Genomic DNA, 15926 nt, shown 5'->3' with positions numbered 1-15926 from the left:
CTTATATAGTAATCACCAATATGATCTATAGTAGCTATCTATATGCACAATAGCCAAATCAACTCATCATATTTAGAAATGTTAAGCTACCATCATTTAAAGAGCCTAAGATTTTAATGTATTTATCTAGCCTAAAATTAATATTTCAACAAAATCAATTCACTCACATCTTTCAAATCTATGAGAATTACCACGGTAAAGGAAAAACATCTGACGCTTTCCGTAAGTTCTGACTTAAAACCTGGCAGCTTGGGCTCCCGAGGGGTTGAGGCCGGCGGCCGGGTGTGTCGGGCCCGGGACGTGCTGCGGTCCCAGAGCCTGGGCTGAGCCCCCGCAGCACTCGCTTTGAGCTGTGGTGCAGACACATGAAAACCATTTCCAAAGCTTATCCTTACAAGCATTTGCAGGTCCCACAGCTGCCACTCGCTAAAACAGGATAGCCAGGGTGCCACGCTTTCCTACCACTGATTAAATGAAAAGAAAAAGCCGGAACTACTTACCTGCTGGTCATTAGAAACATGGGTTTCGTTTGACAACTCTTTCCCCAAATTCATTGTAAGGCACCGAGCCACACTAGGCACCCGGGTCTAAGACACACCATTCAACACCGCAGCTTGTGCGTGTGAGAAAAGTTTAAAGGCATTTCCGATGAAGTTCCCTCTCGCTCCCTTCGTAACCCATGGCAACAGGACACTGCAGGAAGCTGTGGCTTGCCAGGGTTTCAGACTCTATCTCAATTGTCTCATCCAAAGAAAGAAGCGCCGTTTACATAAATCACGCTGTGAGATCATTTTTAAACTATTTCCTCTACCAAATCAGAAGAATAAAACTTCGGCCGACAGGGGTAATTTCTCAGTCAGTAAAACAGCTGCAGAGAATTTGTTTTTTTTAGCATCGTGGTGCAGTTCACAACCTTAATTACAGCTGCCAATGAATCTATTCTAAGCCTCCACATGCACCAGCTTACTGGGTGGCAGCCAGCGGGATCTGGCACACGCCTAAAGCCCTCTCAGTGCTATCTGTATTCCGTGATCTGCTCTGCCCACCCTCCAAATATATGAAACAACCAGAAAGCGAGTGAACCATGATGGATCCTGGCTCTAAAAAGGAAGGAGGAAAGAAAAAGAAAACTATTTGTAAAGCCTAGGGATCACTGCAAAATCATCTGTTAATTTTCTAGAGATTTAGGGGTAAACTGCTCATCCCAAAGTGCTTCCCTGCTGTCAAAATCATGCAGCATGGGCCACCTAGAGTCTCGTCCTAATGGGCTCTAGGAGTCCTAACCCTGAAACGTTAGGTTGAGGGAAGCTTCGCCATTAGACCTGGGGAAGCTTCTTGCCAGGAACTGCAAACTCAATGCCCACAGGGCCACCAGGCTAGGTCCATGGCTCTGGGGTCTGGGGTTGGGCTGCCAGCTGGGAAGGAACTGTGCCAGCTCTGCTTCTGCCTTTCTGTGGAGGAACATGAGCATTCCCCGCACGAGAGTGTTCAGTGAGCAGAACCCACAGCACTGGACACACACTTCGTTTCAGAAATGCACAATGGCTGCTTGCAGAATGCGCAGCAGCTCAAGCTTCCTTAGAAGGCTTTTCTCAGGAGCTGTGCACGTAACAAAAGTGTGGGGGAGTCTGCAGGGGCGGGGGGCAGGCGCCCAGCCACACCCCCAGCAAGCAGAGGAATCACCCCAAGGCAGCCACACCTCCCTCTGCACAGCTGCTCCTCGCTGAAAGGGGTGCCACCTCCACTTCTGTCACCAGCCCAGGAAGGGGCTCCCGCCCAAGCTACCGGGACCCCCGGTCAGCCCCATAGGTCTGGAGTGGCCTCAGAAGCCCTGTTCCTCGACAGGGCCCCGCCTCTACCTACCATGGCCCCACCCACTTCCCCTGGGCTCTGGGCCAGAGGGTCTACATTAGGTACGACAGGCATGGCAGGCAGTATGACAGAAGGCGGAGCACGTATAGACCAGACCACATCACCATTCCTGGGCTAAGCCACATCTCTCAGACAAAACCAGCATCCTCGTCCCCTGCCTTCCCGTCAGCATCCACCCCACCACACACACACAGGCACCCCCCAACACACACAGGCACCCCCCAACACACACAGGCACCCCCAACACACACAGGCACCCCCACACACACAGGCACCCCCCCTACACACACATGCACCCCACACACGTACCACACACACACATGTACCCCCCCACACACAGGTACCCACACACACACAGGCACACACACAGGCACCCCACACACACACACATGCACCCCACACACGTACCCCACACACACACGTACCCCACACACACACAGGCACCCACACACACACAGGCACCTCACACACAGGCACCCCCACACACAAAGGCACCCCACACACACACAGGCACCCACACACACACAGGCACTCACACACACACAGGCACCCCACACACACAGGCACCCACACACAGGCACGCACACACACAGGTGCACACACACACAGGCACACACACAGGCACACTTTCAGAGAAAGCAATCTGAAGGTTCTGGAACAACAGCAAGGGGTTCTGGGGTGGCTGGGTGAGCCCCTGACGCTGACCTGCCCGTTAACCTCATTGGCTTCTGAGGGGCCTGCACTACTGACAGTTTACAGAGCTTTGGAGGAGACAGTGGTCTCCAGGCGGGAGCAGAGGACAACAGCATCCTGGCCCCCCAGGGCCCCCAGACCCTGGGAACAGCCACCAGCGCCTGAGAACCGAAGGCAGCCTGGGCATGCGTGGGGCCTTCTGCTGAGGGGTTATCACCTAAGTGCTAAACTGATTTCACCTCAGTTCTTTCAGACAGAAACATCTTCATCCCATTGTGTTCCATCGAGGACGGAAAGGAAGAAACACAATTTCACATTGTCTACGTGGTTTATTCGCAAAGCCCACAAAGCAGCCCAGGCTGCTAGGGGTCCGCCTGTTGCTGTCCGGTCACTAACAACAGGGCCTCCAACAACAGGGCCTCCGGGTTCTCCTGTCTCTCTCTAGGCTCCCCCCATCTCCTCTTTTGTGGGAGCCTGTCCTTTTCTGCAGCTGCTGACCTCCCCTGCCTAGCCAGTAACTCCCCTCTGCAGATGGGTGAGGAAAGGGATGGGGCAGGGCCAGAACACGCCTGGGAGAACTCCTGTGACCGCCTGAGGGCCCCAGCAGCAAGTGCCCTGGGGAGACGGGGATGAGCCCCCTGCCACATGGTCAGAGGTCCAGGAGCTGCTGACAGCCACATCCCCAGAAGATTCTGGGCCCCAGCCCATTGCCCCTGCTTCGTGCTCCACCTCCCTTGTTTGGATGGATGTGTTTACTCAGTGCCTGGTGGGAGTCGGGTTCAGACCCCGGGCCCGGGAAGCCCAGCACAGCCCTTCACCAACACATGCATGGCCAGTCTGGGCACAGGAAGAAAGCACCGCAAGGCGGGAGCACCCGATCATGCGCTGCACAGGCACCGCCTCACCAGGACGGGGCGTGAAGAGAAAGTGGGCAGAGTGCTAGCTCGGAAAGGGCGAGCCGTTCTCAGCCCTCCAACGCAGGCCCACCGCGGATCCCAGAGAAGGCGAAGCCCCCGTGTGGTGAGCTCGGCAAGTGGGCATGTGAGCCTGGAGGCAGCTGTGGTGCAGCGGGGACTCAGGCCTGCATATCACCGCCCAGCTGGACAACAGGACATGCTTCCTGAGTACCCAGAGGGAGCCCCTCACCTCCCCAGGGGTCTGTCCTGAGCTGGAAACCCAGGGTGAGCAGGGGGGCAGGGCTAGATTGGAGGAGTTCGCAGATGGGAGCTCTGGGTCCAGCCAGGGCAGCAGGGATGATGGGGGTGGCGGGGCAGAGGGCATTCTGGGCGGGGAGGAGCTGAGCCGGGCAGAGGTGAGGACCCACGTGGGCTATGTCCTGGGGCCAGGAGAGGCCTGGCTAACTGGAAAGTTCCAGTGAAGGCAAAGGGGCCTGTGGGTGACCCAGGGTCTCCAGGACCTGCCAAAGAGCTCCTCCTTGACTCTGGGCCTCCTTACAGACTCACCTGTCTCCCAGGCCTCTCTCACCAGTTCCTGCGCCCACCCACACCAGTCTCTGCTAGAGGACACATCCCGTGATGCCCCAGCCTAACCAGGGCCTCCTGAGCTTTCCGGCCATGCCTGGCGCACAGCTCGACCTGGAGGGAACAGAAGCACTCTCTCCTGAAGGTTTCTCAACAGCAGAAAGGAGACGGGCGCGGAACACCCAGGAACCGGGACGGCCCTGGTGGATCCCGGCCGCAAGCCCTGCTGCCTCCTTCACGGGGCCGGACCACCTCACTCTCAGCTAGGAGGGCGTGCGAGGCAGAGAGGCGGGAACTGGAGGAGCGCCTCTGCTGACTGTGCCCGGGAGACATCTGCAGAGCTCACAGATATGAGCACAGGCCCTGATTCTCTCCCTGCTCTTAACCCTGGAGGCCTCTGGTCGCCAAGCCAAAGGCCCAGGTGTGGCTCCTCTATGGGCAGGGCCCTCAAATCTCCCCCAGCTGGGCTCTCCCATCCTCCTGCCCTCCACCCCTGACCCCGCATAACCAACTAGACAGCTGGCCGCCATATGCCAGTCTGACCCTTTGCAGTCTGCCCAGCACCCGCCCCAGCCCTGTGCCTAACCCCTAACCCCTAACAGTCTGGCTGTCCTGCCTGCCTGCCTTCCTTCCCCATTGCCCTTCTCGGGTGGGTCATGGTGCTGCCCAGGCCAGCACCCCCCAGATGAGGTCCCACCACTGCCTGGCCTGCAGCTGCTCACAGCCGTCTCCACCTCGAGCACGCCCCACGCAACGGTGCCCCATGCAGCCCATCCAGGACCAGCTCCACAAGGCAGGGAGGGGTCAACACTGAGCATGTTCCCCACTGCCTCCCCAGAGCCAAAATAATGTCGGGCACATAGTAGGTGTTCAACAAACATTCACTCAATGAGAAGGCCCTGAAGCACTGAAGAATCCTATTACATGTCCGGAGTTCACAGGATCTTAAGGACAGTTCAGAAAATTTCCCATATAATGGGTTTAAAAAGCAGACTGGTGTGTGAAAGACCAAGACAAGCAAAGATTTCTAAGTTAAATTCTGAAAATAGCAAAGTCGCAAACCTAAGAGACAGGGTAAAAGGAGCTTATTCTGAAAGGCCTGTGAGGATCTCATTCCTACACAATGTGACGTGCGGCACGTCGTCCCAGAGGTGAGTGGGAGGCCAGGAAGAAGCCAACATTATCAACCCAACAGCCAAGAAGGCCGTGTCCGACTCACACTAAGGCTTAGGTCGGACTCAGGGCTCCGTCGGTTTTTGCTGGGATTTACAGCTCTGGATGGGCAAGATCACAGTACAGGCCTCAAGATGGAATCAAGGCAACTCACTGGGGACAGACGCAAAAGCTCCTGCCACCTCCCTCCCTCCTCCCTCCCTCAAGACCTGTCCTCCCTCCCTCCTCTCACCTGTCTCCCTCCTCCCTCCAGACTCCCTGTAAAGGGCCAAGAGTAGGCACTGCCCGCTGTGCAGGCGACACCACGCACTCGACCCCACTCTGCCGCTGTAGCATGAAAACAGCAGACGGAACTGCAGCCCAGGGAGACTCTATTTACAAGAACAGGCAGTGGATCTGGCCGGGGACTGCGGTCTGCCATCCCTGGCCCTGAACATCCCCTCTCTGCCCAGTCCCTGAGTCCAGGTCTCTCCCAGGCTCCAGCCCAGGCTCCTGGCTCCAACAGCTCCCGGGGAACCTGCAAACCGCCGTCACCTCATCCTCCTGTCACCCAGGATGCCCCTTCTGCTCCCCTGGAAAGGTGCAGCTTCTGCCCTGGGTGCAGGAGGCTCCATCCAGTGACCACCTGGATTCTGCCTGCCTTGTGTAGGGTGCACCCCTCTGGGTCCCGCACCCTGCCCAGCCTCCTCTCGCCACGGGGAGGGTCCTTCCAAGCAGAGGTGCCAAGCTTCCTCCTGCAGCAGCCAGGCCCTGGCTCTCCCAGGCAGCGACCGCCAAGTCAGGTGATGGGAAATCAGCCAAGGCCCCCAAATTCTCCAAGCCACACACAGGGCAGTCGCCCTCTCCTTCAGCTCCCGGCAATAAATTTACCCAAAGCTTCTGTCACACTTAAAATATCTAAGTCCAGGTGTCAGCCCGGCTCTCCCTCCCTCTGTCCCTGGGACACCCAGCTGCCCCAGGCCCTGGGCTGTGTCCCAACACCTGCCCTGGCTCCCTCTGAGCGTCGGGCACTCCCCACATCACCTGGCCTCGTTTCCGGGGGCCACGAGCCCCTGGACAGTCTTCTGCTGCTGCTGTTTGTTCAACTCTCCCAAGCAGAGGGCAAGCTCCCAAAGGCAGGACGTTGCCTGGCCCAGCTCTACTGAACCGCAGCTCAGGAACAGTGCGGCCCGACCTCCATGGGGACATCTGCAGGAGCAGGTTCTGCGGATACACCCACCCTGCCAGGGCCTCTGGGTGAGAGGAGCCCAGTGCCAGGAAGCTCAGCACAGGCTGCAGGGGCTGCCCTCAGACACGGAGGCCCCAAGTCACAGTTACGGCAGATGGACGTAACGAGCCCAGGAGCCCCGACGTGCAGCCAGTGATGCGGTGCTAGTGTCGGATGGTGACATCCAAGCCAGAACTCAAGAGATGACAAGGCCATCCCCAGGGCTTATACAGCAACCCTTACAAACAGTTACAAGATTCATCTAAGATAAATCCTGCTTATTTTCCTGGTGAATAGAGAAAAGCACAAATATGAATAAAATACAGTTCCTGGCCATCTCAAGACACGTGCAGAATCGGAGAGGGAAGCGTTTGAAACCACAGACCATGTGACTGAGCAGAGTCCCAGACTCCCAGTGCCCGGCCTCTCCGGCAGCATGGCTTCTGCAAGCCTGGGGGGCCTGTGCCCTCCCCATCCCGGCACTGCCCTTCCCCAGCTTCCCCCGCCCACTCCTCAAGTACCTCCCAGCCCTCCAGGCCACCCTCAGGTTTCTAGTACCAAGCTTCCTTCCAGTCCCTGACCCCTGGGTCCCAGGGGTTCTGTCTGCCTCCCTTCACTCTGGTGACCCCACTCCCTCCCAGCTCTTGTTGGGAACCACTGTTGGTCTTTGGGCTGTTCCCGCCAAGCCTGCCCCAACCCAGGAGGGCCGGCAGGTCCACGCGCTGCCGCCTCACTCCCGCATGGAGCCCTGCAGTGTGCGCCGGGTGAGCGGGACGCTGCGTCCATCTCCACGGCAGGCAGGGCTGTGGTTTCCCAAGCAGATTCTCCTACACGCAGAACCCGCACACCCCTGTCCGTCTCGCCTCTTGCCGCTGCACTTCTCCCCACCGCCAACAAGCAGCAGTTCAGGCCCCGCGGCTCCTTACCGGGAGTCAACTAACCACAAGGCCTGGGGTCTCTCGGGGAGGCTGGAGCCCAAAACGAACGTCAAAGAAACAGAGCATGAGCCAAGCTGAAACAGGATTTTTAAAAATGGTTTCTCTTTAAAACAGCTGAAGCTCTTTGATGACGGAAACAATAGAAAATTATAATCGCCGATCACTTTTTCCATTTTAACATAATGCCACTTTGCAGAAATAATTCCAAAAACACTAGGATTTATGGGGTAAGAAGAGGGACAGAACTGCTAGTTCCAAACAGCCTTGCCATGCACACTCACTGACGCACACTCACACACACGCCCTCGCGCACACACACCCCCACACTCACTGATGCGCACTCTCACACACACACTCACATACACACGCCTTCACACATGCGCACACACTATTTCACACACACACACATACACCCTCGCGTTCCAAATGGCCTTGCCATGCACTCACAGACGTGCACACTCTCACACATATACACACCCTCACACACATGCCTTCACACACTGGCACGTGCACACACACCCCTTCGCGTTCCAAATGGCCTTGCCATGCACACTCACACTGATGCACACATGCTCTCACACACACACACCCTCGCACACACACACCCTCACACTCAGTCTCACACTCAAACACACTGACACACCCTCACTCTCATATTCACACACACCCTCACACACACCCTAACTCACACCCTCACATCTTCACACACACCCTCACACAGACATCCTCGCACCCTCACCCTCACACAGCCTCACACACACCCTCACACACACCCTCACCCTCACACTCAGCCTCAGTCCCACACTGACACACCCTCACTCTCACATTCACACACACCCCCTCACGACATCCTCGCACCCTCACACACACCCTCACACCCTCACACCAACCCTCACATCACACACACCCTCACACAAACCCTCACAACACACCCTCACACACACTGATCCTCGCACCCTCACACACACCCTCACATACACACACCCTCACACACACCCTCGCACCCTCACACACACACCCTTGCACAACACATACCCTCACAGATACACCCTCACATACCTTCACACACATCCTCACACACTGACACCCTCACACACACCCTCACACGCACACACTCTCACTCTTCATGACATGAGGCGACACACTGGTCAGGACAGCTAAGGGAAAATGTGCCCCTCAACCTGGCACTCGCAGGAGGTCCTGCAGACCCAGTCCTGCCTGGCTTGGGCAGGGTCTGGAACCCCACCCACACCCCATGTCCCCCACCTCGGTCCCCAGCACCCTACCCCTCCTTCACTGCCGCTGCCCTTTGAGACAGGGAACACACGTGGAGAAACCTGTGAACAAAACCCAAGTGCACCAGCCCAGCTCCATCCACAGCGGACGGCCGCCCTCCATCCCCCTCGGGGCCGCAGCCTGCTGTGGGTGAGGGTGACGAGGGGGAGCGCTACACGCTGGCTCCTGGCTCCCAACACTGACTTCCCCAGGCAGGTTGGGGGCATTGTTCCCTGCAAGCCTCAGTCCCAAGAACACAGCTCTACCAGGAGCCTGTCCTGTGAGAGGCACTGATGCACGTGGGCCTGTCTTCTAGGCCCTTGGTGTAGCTCGAAGACATTTCGCCAACACTTTAGACCATCTCTGTCTGAACCTGACTTAACACCTGGAAGGCAGAGACGTCCCCTCTGACTGCATCCTTCCTCAACAGGCCTGTCACTGCCTCCCTTGCAGAACAAACAAAACTCGCCCCTGCAATTCCCAGAGCAGCTATGTCATCCTCTGACCTCCACCTCTTGCCTCGGGAGCTCCTCCAGGTGCTCCCCACTGAGGGCCTTCCCTCGCTCCTGCTACCTGGCGCCAGTTCATGCCCTCGGTTTCCATCCCACCCGGCTCACAGGCCAGCCTGCCCCTCGCCATTTCTGCTCATGCGCCCAGGTCCCAGGCCCCATCTTGCTTTCAGGCCCACTTTCAAACCCTCATCCCAGACGCTAACACAGCCTGCTCCGGGCTGATGCCCCAGCCATTCAAAAGGGCGGGAAAAAAGTACTCACAATCAAGCTGCCATTTTTGTCATCAACTATAACACAAATTCAGAAGAGTACAAAACAGAAAAGCATGGCTCGGTGGTTTATCATGAAGTGAAGCCCACGTAGCCCTCACCCCGTTCACAATGAAAAGCAGAACCATGTTCCAGCTCTTCTTTATGGTGCTACCAGTGAAGCATGTAACCTAAAACCATGGTTTTCAACAGTCTTGCCTGTTTCCAGATTTCTATAACTGGAATGACACAGGTGCGTTCTCTTGCATCTGCCATCTTTCTGTGATGTTTATCCATGTTATTAAGACAGCCATAGTCCATTAGCTTCTACAGCCACCGAGCATCCCACTGCAAGAATAAATCACAGGCTATCTGTCCTTTCCACCACTGGTGGGCAGTCAGGCTGCTTCCGTGTAGGGATCTTATGAATACTGCTATTTTGAATTCTTGCACATGCTCTTGGTACACATGATGGAACTCTAGGAATTTGCCTGGAAACTTTCTCATATGTGACTTTGGCTAGCACCTGTAGTAAAATGTCTACTCAAATCCCTTGCCCACTGTGCATTTGAGCCGTTTGTCATTCTCATGGACGTGCTGCATTCTCAGGGTCCGTCGGCCTTTGTGGGTTAGCCGCACTGTCCTCTCGCCCTTCTTTCTAGGAACGGTATGTTTTGATGAGTGCAAGTTCCTAATATTCATTTAATCAAAATCATCAGTCTGCCTTTACAGTAAGTGCCTTTTGTGTCTGTTTTAAAAGCTTTTGCCTCCTCAATATCATGAAGATATATCTGTAACTTTCTTTTGCCCTTCATAAGGACAATTAGAAAATATCTGAGACAAATTAAAATGAAAATACAACATACCAAAACGTATGGAACACAGCAAGAGTAGTACTAAAGGGGAAATTTATAGCCTTAAATGCTTACATAAAAAATTTAAAAGATCTCAAATCAACAATTTAGTTTTACAACTTAAGAAACTAGGGAAAAAACAAAAAACAAAAAACGAAACCCAAAGCTAGAAGAAGAAAGGAAATAATAAAGATTAGAGCAGAGATCAATGAAATAGAAAATAGAAAAACAAGAAAAAAATTAACAAAACCTAGTTGGTTCTTTGAAAGGATCAACAAAATTGACAAATCCTTTGCTCAATGAACTAAGGGAAAAAAAGAGAAGACTCAAATTACTAAAATCAGAAATGATAAAAGGGACATTATTACCAATTCCACAGACATAGCAAGAATTATAGAGGAGTACTGTGAACAACTCTACACCAATACATTGGATAACCTAGATGAAATGGTTAAATTCTTAGAAACACAAAACCTACCAAGACCAAATCATAAAGAAACAGAAAATCTCGCCAGGCGCAGTGGCTCAAGCCTGTAATCCCAGCACTTTGGGAGGCCAAGGCAGGCAGATCACTTGAGCCCAGGAGTTCAAGACAACATGGGCAACATGTTGAAACTCCAGCTCTACAAAAAAAATGTAAAAGTATGGCTAGGCACGGTGGCTCATGCCTGTAATCCCAGCACTTTGGGAGGCTGAGGTGGGCGGATCACCTGAGGTCAGGAGTTCGAGACCAGCCTGGCCAACATGGCGAAACCCTATCTCTACTAAAAATACAAAAATTAGCCAGGCATGGTGGCACACACCTGTTCTCCCAGCTACTCAGGGGGCTGAGGTGGGAGGATCACTTGAACCCAGGAGGTGGAGTTTGCAATGAGCTGAGATTGTGTCACAGCACTCCAGCCTGGGCAAAAGAGTAAGACACTGCCTCAAAAAAAAAAAAAAAGAAAAGAAAAAAGAACTAGAAAATCTGAATAGACCTATAACTAGTAAGCAAACTGAATCAGTAATAAAGAAAAATCTCCTGATAAAGGAAAGCCCTGGACCTGAGGGCTTCACTGGTGAATTCTACCAAACATTTGAAGAGCTAATACCAATCCTTCTCAAACTCTTTCTAAAAGAAGAAGGGGGAGAGGGAGGAGGAAGAGAAGGGGGAGGAGAAGGGGGAGGAGGGGGAGGGGGAGGAGGAAGGGGAGGGGGAGAAGGAGGAGGTGGGGAACGGGGAGGAGGAAAGAAGGGGGAGGAGGGGGAGGGGGAAGAGAAGGGGAGGAGGGAGAGGAGAGGGAGGAGGGTGAGGGAGAGGAGGAGGTGGAGGGGAAGGGGAGGAGGAAGAGGGGGAGAAGGGGAGGAGGAGGGGGAGAAGGGGAGGAGGAGGAGGGGGAGGAGGGGGAGGAGGGAGGAGGAGGGGGGATGGGAGGGGGAGGGGAGGGGAGGGAGGAGGGGAGGAGGAGGAAGAGGGGGAGGTGAGGAGGAGAGGGAGGAGGGGAGGTGGAGGAAGAGGGGGAGGGGGAGGGGAGGAGGGAGGAGGGGAGGAGGAGGAAGAGGGGGAGGGGAGGAGGAGGAAGAAGGGGAGGGGGAGGGTGTAGGAGGAGAGGGAGGAGGGGAGGAGGAGGAAGAAGGGGAGGGGGAGGAAGGGGAGGAGGAGGGGGGGACAGAGAGGAGGAGAAGGAGGAGGAGAAGGGGGAGGAAGGAGAGAAGGGGGAGGCGGAGGAGGGGAAGGAGGAATACTTCCTCTTCTATGACAGTATTACCCTGACATCAAGCCAGACAAAGACAATACAAGAAAACTAGAGACCAATATTCATGATGAATATTGATGTAAAAATCCTCAACCAAATACTAGCAAACTGAATTCAGCAGCATATTAAAAGGATTATACACCATCACCAAGTGGAATTTATTCCTATAATGCAAGGGTAATTCAACATATGAAAAATCAATCATTGTAATACACCCCATTAACAAAATTAAGAGGGAAAATCACATCATTAACTGATGCAAAAAAATTTCACAAAATTCAGTACCCTTTCATGACTTAAAAAAAAACACTCAGTAAACCAGAAATAGAAGGAAACTACCTCAACATATAAAAGGCATTAGTGAAAAATTAACAACAAACATCATCTCCATTGGAGAATGACAAAGCTTTTCATCTAAGATCAGGAACAAGGCATGAATGCCCACTTCGACAATTCTTTTCAACACAGTACTGTAAGTTCTAGCCAGAGCAATTAGGCAAAAAAAGAAATGAAAGGCCCCCAAACTGGAAACAAACAAGTAAAATTATCTCTGTTCACAGATGGTAAGATATTTTATGTAGACTATTCCACCAAAAAAAAACCTACTAGAGCTAACAAATGAATTCTGCCAACAGGAGGACACAAAGTCAACACACAAAAATCTGTTGCATTTCTACACTAACAGTGAATAATCTGAAAAGGAAATTATAAAAACAATTACATTAACAATAGTATAAAAAGAATACTGAGGAATTAACTGAACCAAGGAGGTGAAAGACTTGTACAATGAAAACTAGAAAACATTGCTGAAAGGAATAAAGACATAAGTAAATATAACATATCCCATGTTGATGGATGGACAGACTTGATATAGTTAAGATGTCAATACTCCCCAAAGCAATCTGCAGATTCAGTGTAATCCCTATTGAAATCCCAATGACTTTTTTACAGAAATAGAAAAACCCATCCTAAAATTCACTTGGAATTTCAAGAGACCCTAAATAGCCCAAACAATCTTGAAAAAGAAGAACAAAGCTAGAGGACTTGTACTTCCTGATTTCAAAGCTACAGTAATCAAAACAGTGTGGCACTGGCAAAAAGACATACACATAAGACTAATGGAATAGAACAGGAAGCCCAGAAATAAAACCTTACATAAATAGTCAAATCATTTTTGACAAGGGTACCAAGACCATTCAATGGGGAAAGGATAATCTCTTCAATAAATGGTGCCGGGAAAAGGATATCCACATGCAAAAGAATAAAAATGGACCTTTACCTAACACCATATACAAAAATTACTTCAAAATGGATCAAACACATAAATAACACCTGAAACTATAAAACTTAGAAGAAAACAGGGTTTTCTTCAAGACATTGGATTTGGCAATGATTTCCTGGATATCAAAGGCACAGGCAACAAATGAAAAAATAGATAAATTGGACTTCATGAAAATTTAAGAACTTTGTACACCAAAGATAATATCAATAGAGTAAAAAGGCAACCCACAGAATGAGAAAACATTTGCAAATCACGTATCTGATATGGGGTTAATATCTGGAATACATACAGAGGAACTTCTATAACTCAACAACAAAAACAAACAATCCAATTAAAAAATGGGCAAAGGACTTGAGTAGACATTTCTCCAAAGAAAATATGCAAATAGCCAAAAAGCACATGAAAAGATGCTCAACATCACTAAACATTAGGGAAATACAAATCAAAAAAATGAGATACCACTTCACACTCACTAGGATGACTACTATCAAAAAACAGAAAGTGCTGTTGTCAAGGAGAAGCTGGAAACCTTGTGCACTGTCATTAGGAATATCCAGTGGTGCAGCCACTATGGAAAACAGTACGGTGGTTCCTCAAAAATTAAAAATAGGACTACCGTATGATACAGAAATTCCACTTTTGGGATATGCCCAAAAGAATGGGAAGCAGGAACTCGAACAGGTATTTATACACCCATATTCATAGCAGTGTTATTCACAATAGCTAAAACACGGAAGCAACACAAGTGTCTATCAACAGGTGAACAGATAAGCAAAATGTGAGTATATCCATACAGTAGAATATCATTCAGCCTTAAAAAGGAAGGACATTCTGACACAAGCTACAACATGGATGACCCCAGAACATTATGCCAAGTGAAATAAGCCAGTTACAAAAAGACAAATACTGTACGATTTCACTTAGAATAGTGAATACTATTCTAGTGATACCTAGAATAGTCCAAATCATAGAGATAGAAAGTAGAATGGTGGCTGCCAGGGGTTGGGGGTGGGGGGAATGGGGAATTAGTGTTTAAGGGGTATAGAGTTTAACAAGATGAAACAACTTCTAGAGATGGATGGTGGTGATGGTTGCACATTATGAAAGAGTTTAATAACACTGAACTGCATATTGAAAAATGGTTAAAATAATAAATTTTGTTGTATGTATTTTACCACAATTAAAATAAATTGAAAGGCCAGGCATGGTGGCTCATGCCTGTAATCCTAGCACTTTGGGAGGCCAAGGCAGGTGGATCACTTGAGCTCAGGAGTTTGAGACCATCCTGGACAAGATGGTGAAACCCTGTCTCTACAAAAAATACAAAAATTATCCGGGCATGATGGCTCACTCCTGTACTCCCAGCTATATGAGGGGGCTGAGGCCAAAGGATCGCCTGAGCCCAGGAGGCAGAGGTTGCAGTGAGCCAAGATTACACCACTGCACTCCAGCATGGGTGACAGAGCAAGAAGCTATCTCAAAAAAAAAAAAAAAAAAAAATTGAAAAAGATAATCTCTGCCCTTTATATTTGCATGAAGATTTTAGAATCATCTTCTTTAATCAAAAACCTCTTGGCATTTTGATTAAAACTGCACTGAATCTATAGGTCATTTTCTAAATGTATATACAATTGATTTTTGTATATTAACCATATATCTAGCAACCTTGTTGAATTAATTCATTTTAATAACTGATCTACAGATACTTTGGAATTTCTTTTTCTTCTTTTTTCCTTTTTTTTTTTTTTTTTTTTTTGAGACAAGGTCTCACTTTGTCCCCCAGCCTAGAATGCAGCGGCACAAACGCAGCTTACTGCAGCCTTGACCTCCCAGGCTCAGGCAATCCTCCCACCTCAGCCCCACAAGCAGCTGGGACTATGGGCGCATACCACCATACCCGGCTAACTTTTGTATTTTTTGTAGAGACAGGTTTTAGCCATGTTGTCCAGGCTGGTCTCAAACTCCTGAACTCAAATGATCTGCCCACTTCAGCCTCCCAGAGTGCTGGGATTACAGGCGTGAGCCACCACGGGACTTTTGGATCTTCTGTTACAATCACATCATCTGAGAACAGTAACAATCACATCATCCGAGAACAGTAACATTTTCACTTCTTCTTTGCAAGCTTTTTAAACTTTTGTTTTTACTTTCTTAGTACACTAACCAGGACTTCCGGTAACGATTTAAATTGAAATCTTTCTCTTGTTCCTGATGGCAAAGGGAAAGCTTAATTATGATGCCACACAGTGTTTAGATATCCTTATCAGATTAAGGAATTTCCCTTTAATTCTTTTAACTTTGTTTTACCATAAATGGATACCGAATTTCACCAAATGCCTTTCCTGCTTCTGTTGAGATAATACTTTTTTTATGTATTCTGTTAAAATAGTAAGTTAAATTGATTCATTTTCAAATGTTAAAAAATAGTGTGTCCTTGAAACAAATGTGTATGTTACCCTTTTTATAAATTGCTGGAATCACCTTGCTAATGTTTTGTTTAGGATTCTCACATCTATGTTTATTAGCAAGCTTGGCCTATGATTTCCCTTTCTTATGTCCTTTGTCAGATTTTTGATACCAAGGTTATATGGTAGCCTCATAAAATGAGTTGGGAAATAATCTTTCTTTATTTTTTGTTAGTTTGTCATTTTTCTG

The 15926-nt window shown here is 50.3% G+C and overlaps 1 protein-coding gene across 17 annotated transcripts in view; it reads right to left on the bottom strand.

The window, feature by feature from the left end:
- RGS12 (regulator of G protein signaling 12) overlaps positions 1-15926 on the bottom strand; it is a 154023-nt gene that overhangs the window by 69092 nt on the left and 69005 nt on the right. For 3 of the 17 annotated variants that reach the window (NM_198227.2, NM_001394162.1, XM_017008534.2), the window contains exon 1: positions 501-624. The exons of the other annotated variants lie outside the window; for them this stretch is intronic. In NM_198227.2, the coding sequence (NP_937870.1) occupies positions 501-554 (54 nt within the window). In that variant the 5' untranslated portion in view covers positions 555-624. Of the gene's footprint in view, positions 1-500; positions 625-15926 lie in introns of those variants that run through there. 17 annotated transcript variants of the gene reach the window in all.

The sequence above is a fragment of the Homo sapiens genome, chromosome 4 (assembly GCF_000001405.40).
Source record: "Homo sapiens chromosome 4, GRCh38.p14 Primary Assembly".
Classification (NCBI taxonomy): domain Eukaryota; kingdom Metazoa; phylum Chordata; class Mammalia; order Primates; family Hominidae; genus Homo; species Homo sapiens.
This window is presented reverse-complemented; position numbering and strand designations above follow the sequence as displayed.